The sequence below is a fragment of the Homo sapiens genome, chromosome 13 (genome assembly GCF_000001405.40).
Source record: "Homo sapiens chromosome 13, GRCh38.p14 Primary Assembly".
Taxonomy (NCBI): Eukaryota; Metazoa; Chordata; class Mammalia; order Primates; family Hominidae; genus Homo; species Homo sapiens.
This window is the reverse complement of record NC_000013.11, coordinates 97,389,785-97,397,444: the sequence shown is the minus strand read 5'-3', so window position 1 is coordinate 97,397,444 and position 7,660 is coordinate 97,389,785. Positions and strand designations below refer to the sequence as shown.

Here is a 7,660-nt window from a genome sequence, read left to right as displayed (position 1 = left end):
CCATTCTGTAGCTCTGAAAAACATTCGACTTTGTGTTTATGAATGCTAATGCGTTTAGATTGCTCTCTATATAAATATATGCGTGTGAGAGTGTTGAAAATATATTTATTCTGTAGTACGTTTGTTACTTCCGTATATATCTGATCAATTTGCTCAGACATATTTAGAGCTTAAGAGGCAGCTTTTCTAAGCTGTCACGCTACTTTGAATACATTTCTCTCCCTCTGTAAAGCCACACATTTTACATTAAATGCATGGGTTTCCATCTCTGGACTGCAGAGCTTATTCACGGATCTCAGGAAAGAGACCTCCTTGCAACAGGAGCACTTTGCTACGATTTGGCTTGTGGACTTTTGTAGGGTGACCTTTTGTTGGAAGGAGATGTTCTCTAGCAAAAGAAAAGTTAGACTGCTCTGATTTAGATCATTTTAGTTTACACACAAGGACAAATATAAATCTCTTCCTTCATTTATATAAAACAAAGAATTGGAAAAACCCACAGAAAAGTTATGAGAGAAAGGGATCAACAATAGTAACATTCAATTTCTCAGCCTCTCTGGATGCAGTTGGATTTTAGGGGTACACATTCATGTGTGGCCTTTATGCAGAAATTTATTCTCTCTGTCTCTTTTCCCTAGACTTTCAAGTTCTATCTTTTCACGTGCTGCCTCCACGTGACTAACTGCATCATGACTTGATGCCACATTATTATTAGGAGAAATTCAATGACCATCATTATATATTTTATTTCAGGAGAACCACATAGAAGCTCGATAAACAAACAAGCAAACAAACAAAAAAACTCTGGGTAACACTGGAGTAATGGTACAATGTAACATTTCTTCTATTGCCTCCGGTCCGAATAAAGAATTGGGCCATGTCCTAAATCTGGCAGAGTACTTTGTAGCCCATAGTTTCAAAATATTTCCTAAATCATATTCTTGGGATAGGGAAGAATATCTTTATCTTAAGTAACCAAGTAAAGGATTCTTATAACTTCAACTTAAACCTGGATAAATGCTTCACTCTGAATTTTTTAGTGAAATTTTGACTGGAAGGCTACCACAAATAAAGCTCATTTCAACTTGGCTGTAGAGTTGGGGCAAGCCAGGGTTTGCTCTATGTGATTTCGAGAGTTATTTAATTTTTATGAGTCTTGATTTTTTTCATCTACATTATAGGTATAATAGATTCTTTGTAACCCTAAGGATTACGTAAAATGTATGTGAACAAAACCAGTTACTCTCTGTTTATGCCTTATTTCATGTGAACAACTATATGGGTTTTCACCAGATTTGATGGGATATCTGAAATTGTTTCATTATAATTTAGGCCAAGTAGCATTTATACAATTTACATGGTGGGTGCCACAGGGACACCTCAAATGGGTGGACATTTTTCAAAGTAGCTGACAGTGGAGGAAACTGAAGTCACAAGCCAGTTGGTGAAAGCTTTGACACGTACTGGACAGAGGTTTTCAGCTGAGCCGGGCAGCTAGTCACCCTAAGGGCAGACACTAGTAGTGTTGATCTAGAAGCAAGTTGCTTCTCACAGCAGAGTCTCTATGTACGTTGAAGAGGAATCTCTGTATCAGTCAGAATTCACTTATCAGTTGTTAGTAATTCTCTCCAACACAGGGTGGGCTTGTTAGAAACATATATAGAATATTTAGCATAGAACTTGGCACATAAGTAGGTCCCTGGTGAACATTCTCAATTCCACCCATTCCCATCCTTGCCATCTATCTCCCCAACTAAGAGCATAGAGGGAATCATTACTATGTTTCATTCTGTGTGAATCATACTTATTCACAGTGACTCAGTCATTTCTATGGAGATAAATCAGTCCAGCAAAAATTGCCTAATATTTCAGAGACACCCTAGGATATTTTGGAGGTGGGGAGAGGGGGTGGGGGTTGCCCCTGCAGAAATCATTCTGCAGGGAACCACTACCGTCTTTTTGTAAATATCAGAACATTGAACTTTATTTTGGTTTTCCTAGCTGCCCCTAAAATCTGTGGCATTGCAATAGAACTTTAATCATAAAGAGTATATTTCTGATTTGAAACATCATTTTAAATTTGGAGAGCCCAAAACTGAAATGACACTTCTCTTTTGTCAGATAATTATAAGATAATTGATATTTTATACCCAAATATTTTCTATGCTGAAGAGATAGTTTTTTATCCTGAGAGGTTTAAGTTTTGTTTTTGATTTTGATGTAGTACCATAAATAGCCAGTCTACTGATAGAAATTATACTTCATGAACTACAGTTTTAGATTTTTCACTTAAAATAATAACTTGCTCTCTGAAGTTGACATCTTGAACTTACTATTAACAGAATGATTTTTGCAGGGAGTGACTGATGAGATAGGTTTTCCTTTGCATTACAGTACAAAAATCACTCATCCAAATATATAGCCATTTTTTCAAATATCCACAGAGGTGTTAAAAGTATTTTTAGCCTTGGAAATCCTGATGGGATAGTTAAAAAATACAAGCAGCTTTATTTGTATCTGCTGAATATGGGTGTTTTCTATGCTATATCATAACCACTCAGGAGGCCTGAAGCTTTAAATCTGCCATGGAGAAAACTCATGTTTCTGCCTTGGCCCACAGAGAAGGCAATTTCTGCTAATCTCAGTGTGACAAGGAGTGTTCCCACCCAAAAGGCCAATAGCACCTTCCTTGACAAATATGGTGGGTCTCAAAAGGCTGAAGAAGGAGCTTCTGTTGCTCCTTCTGCCCACACACCACCTCTTAGGAGGAGACTGCTTACTGACAGAATAGCAGGGACCCTCATCACCCTCTCTTTGCTGAATTCCTGTTCTATTCTTGAGCCACCTAGCTAGGACCTCTGCATAGAATAGAACTCACCATTCTATCTCTTTCTGCAGCCTCAGGTCTGATTCATGTTATCCCATCAAGCTCTTACAGAAGCCTCTATTATACCTTAATGGGTCCTTTTTAAAATCTAATCTATTCATGAAACTGACATTTTGTTTCCCATTTAGTTACTGATGCCATTGATCCCATATCTTTTCATTATCAGTCTGAGATGTGAAGAAGAGGGCTGAGTGGTGGGCTTTATTTTCACTTCTAATTTTAAAGAATACTAAAAATACTTCTCAAATTACCATTTTTAATTGTTTTTCTTGCTGCTAAAAAGCCAAAGCCAAAAGCAAAAACTATCAGTTTTCCATTCGAAGACCCGAGTTTGGTCTTCTTTGAAGTTAACAAATACTGTATGTGTGAAGGTGAAAACTATTTTGTTTGGTGAATTATCAATCTGTCTCAACACAAAAAGAAGGAAGACTATACAATCCTTTTAAATGCTTCTTTTATTTCATTGGTTGTACATTGGGTGAGTGAACTGAATATTACAACCAAAACATAGTATTGATACAAATTAGACTCCTGTTTACACTGTAAGGTAATGAATGAGGGAATTCTTTAAGTGTTACAGAAAGATTTAGTAGAAATGTTACCAGTGGTATGGCTGAAAGAATATTTCGGTGAAGTGCTGTTATATCCTGAAAACCAAGAGTGAAATGTAGTTCCCATACAAGTGGAGAGTTAGTCTCTTAACTACAGTATTTGTTGAACTGATATCTTCATGTCTTGGATATTGGTGATTTTTGTTTTTTAATTAAACAAAGCATTTAAGATTTATTCATCATAGTCAGACTTCTGAATATAAACAAACTTTTGGCAAATAATATTTATACAGAAAAATAGTTTTAGATCCTCTCAAATCCCAGAATTATTCTATAAAATTACATTATAAATAAATAAAAAGCAAAATCTGTTGTACATATATTTGTACATCTATGCATTTGCCTTGCCTCCTCCTTATTGTAAATGGCATATTTATGACTCTTTGCATATTGTAATCACAATTCTGGAAAATGGATATCATAGTAAAAAATACAGTCTTCTATATTTGCTTGGGGTTACAGGTGATGTTTTTGATGCTCCATTATTAAAGGGCTGAAAATAGTTGTGTGCTAATAATTTTAAAAATCAAAATCATGAAACAAAAGAAAAAAAAGAAAGACAATGTTACAACAATTAATCTACAAAAATATTTCAGTGATTCCCATAATTTACCTTTTAGTAATGTATACTATGTTTTCAATGAGTTTAAATGAATTAACAAAGAAAAAAACAGAAAAAAGAAAACAAGTTTGAATGTTTTAGGCAAGTTGTAGCGTAACTACATTGTTATAGTTGAGAAAATTACAAATATCAATAATACATAAAGATGAAACTACCAAAGTAATACAAGTTAGATACAATACTTTTCCACAAATTAAAACAAATGCAACGATACAAGCACTATGTAAGAATACATTTAGCGTGTGACTTTCTTTTAGATAGGGTTATCAGATCTACGATATAAGATAAATAGATAGTAATTCGACTTTGACCAACATGAATTAAAATGCAGATTTCTTTTTTTCCTCAAACAAATAATGATACGGTTGGTGCATCTAGTTTTCAGAACAGGCGATGATCCCAAATTTAAAATATTTTACATTCAATCTCAAAAGTCAAAATACTTCAATCACTAATATGTTCACAAAGAAAATGGATGTTTGAAACAATTACACATAATATTCATTTATAACAGCTGTTTTGTTTTTTAAACAATAATTTAAAAACTATGTAGGTACTGTATAGGCTATGTGCAACATATAAAATGTGAAATATGAAATATTTGGTACGATAGTGCTTAAAATAAACTTTAAAACAAACTTTCTGAACAAAATTTAATTGTATCGCTATTACCTTGAAGATCAACCAAGTATTTAAAAAAGTAAACAACATTAAAATATGTTTCATCCATATATAGTATATATATGTATGTGTATATATAATATGTATGTACTTGTATTAAAGTTTTTTATACTTTTGAGACATAAAATATGCTTTAAGGTGAAAGAATTAAAAGAACTATTTTTTTCCATGCTGTAGTCAGTTACAACCCTTTAATCCAACTTTTGAAATGCAAAACAGTAATGGATTTTTTAAAAAGTGAAACTATCTACTTTTTGTTTACATAGTAATTTAGATTAAAGTCACAGTCAAATTTGCAGTGACTAAACTCAAACTTACTTAAATTAGAATATTATACAGATCTCCTCACCTACAGCTTCCTTGTTTGACTAGGTTTTTAGTTAAGAAGAGTTATTCTGTAACAGGCAACTGGATGGTGAGTTTGAAAGACTAATCTCTTAGATTAGACTGTTGGCATGGGCCTCTCAATCTTGTCAAGCTGGATGAAGTCTGGCAAAATCTAGGCACTTCTACAAAGTCTCTCTTATAAAACAACTTTAAAAATATACTTGTAAAATAATACCTTCAAGACTTTGTTTGGTGGGGTATGAAGCTCATACCGTGCAAAGTTTCTTTTTCAATCTATTTAATGTTAATCTAGAATCACATGATTCAACGTGGCATCTCCAGGCAAACCAAACACCACACTTTGATGTGTCCCCAGTACTTGTGCTTGAATTTCCATTCAAATTTTAGACCTGCAGGACAGGTATCGGTTTTACTTCACCTCTCATCTTTGCTGCAGCATTTATATTGTCAAGAAGTGAAACATACCCTTTGATCCAGTGGGTAAATGACATGACAGTAATTAGAGCTAGAATCGAACCTGCCCTTGGAATATGTTTCTTTTTTAACTAATGCTAATTGTTTATTGCTAAATTTGAAATATTCTGAATCGAAATGAGTAAACTGGCTGGACTTTCTGCATCAGCTATAGTTATGGAGATAAGACAATATTCCTAGGACAGAAACTATGTTTAGAAACCCTTTAAAAGTAAACTTTATCCTTTATGTCTTTAAACATCACAGCTGGTCTCAGGTAGTTAACTATCTTAGGTTGGAATATACTAAGCATACCATATTTAATACTCATATATGAGATAGCAGCACTAGCTTCTTAGAGTTGTGGTCTGTCCAGAAGAACTACATCTTTATTTAGCATGCAGTTTGTGGCAATTCTATTGAGGAGGAAACAGGATAGTATGTACAGTAACAATGTTTAGTTATTCTCAATGCAGATTCTTGGCATTCCATTCCGTTTCTGCTGATTATTTCAGAATTATCTGTTAAAGAGAAAGACAAGCATGATTTAGGTATCCTTCTGGGAGGAAAAATAATGAGTTTAAGTTTTACTCTTCAAAAATAGACATTTGAAAATCAGAGTTTTCTTCAATCTCTCATTATTTTGATGCAATTATAAATTTGCACAATACCCGCCCTTCATGCTGAAAAACTTTACACTTAACCACTTCTGCTATGTGGCCACTATAAAGAAAGATGATTCAAATGCACAGTACTTTCTGGAAAACTGTGGCAGCATATAGAGAGGCATGCATGTTTAGACCACAATTTCTTTTTAAAATTTTTGCTTTATAGCTCTTTATTATACATTCACATTATTGTCCAATTCATATTTGCTACGGTGATCAGAAAGTCTAATCAGAGAATTTGTTTGTACTGAAAAGTCATTTGTAAGGCTTAAATATAAATATTTCAAAATCTATAATAATCAGATATTATTTATCTATTAACTTGCATTTTTAATTCAAAAATGTATTCCCATCAAAAGTAATTTTGTTCCCAACACATAACGACAACCAGTTCAAATTCAAGGTATATTTAAATGTCACATATCAAAGAGTAAAAGGGATAACAGTCTATTAAGGCAGTTAAAAAGTTCTTAATACATCCAAAAGCACAGCTAAAGCACAGATAAAGGTAAACTATTAAGTGCAAGCTGTGGTCCCTTGAGTCTGATCTCTAAGTTCATTTCCAGCTCCATACCTTTGCAAAGGAGAAGGAACTTGGCCCGTGTGGTCCAATCCATTAAATGTCAAGGTTAAAAGCCAAGTTTTTAACACACCGTAACAAAACTATTTAATCTTTTCTAATGCTTTGACCAAATTTTGTGTAATTAATAAGCAAAGCGTTTATTCATTAAACAAGAGTCTGTTAGGAAATAACTGGTAAAATTTGTTTATAATGAGAGTCAGCTAATACTTCTGCACACTAGGATTCAATTCCCAACAAAAGCCTTATTTTCCTAAGCATACTGTATTATCCTGTTATGTATAATTTCTCCACGTGGATATTTTTTCCCTTTAAGTGAGTGCTCCTGTACTTTATATGCAACAATTTTAGTATATGTTCCTCCCATGAAATAAACATGAGTATTCTTTATTTTATTGAAACAGACAGATGTGTAGAGAATTCATAAAAATAGAGAAAGAACTAATTTACATTAAATATTTATAGTAAATGGAAACTTAAAACTTCAGATAAGGTCATTCTTTGATTCTTAAATATTCCTAGGAATGTAAAATTAACTGGGAAAAATAGCATTCCTTGTCTTGTGTACTAACAGACATGAATAAAATTAATAAGATATTATTTTATATGTAAACACAGCATCTAGTATTTGAATACTATTATCTTTGAATATTATCATTGCCAATAGGTAATATTCAAATTTTCTAGATTTAGATATTAAATAGAAATGTTTTGATTTCATCCCTTAGTTTCAAGCCTATCTGTAAGTTTTCCAAATAAGAACGCACCCTAGTCCATCAAATCATGTCTGATTTTTCTTTTTCTTTTACT

General features: G+C 33.1%; 1 protein-coding gene across 55 annotated transcripts in view; it reads right to left on the bottom strand.

The window, feature by feature from the left end:
- Nucleotides 1–3,324: 3,324 nt before the first annotated feature.
- The window catches only part of MBNL2 (muscleblind like splicing regulator 2), a 252,287-nt gene continuing 247,951 nt past the window's right edge, over nt 3,325–7,660 (bottom strand). For all 55 annotated transcript variants that reach the window (NM_001382649.1, NM_001382675.1, NM_001382656.1 and 52 more), the window contains one exon: nt 3,325–6,123. In NM_001382649.1, coding sequence (NP_001369578.1) covers nt 6,109–6,123 — 15 coding nt within the window. In that variant the 3' untranslated portion in view covers nt 3,325–6,108. The remainder of the gene's footprint in view (nt 6,124–7,660) is intronic.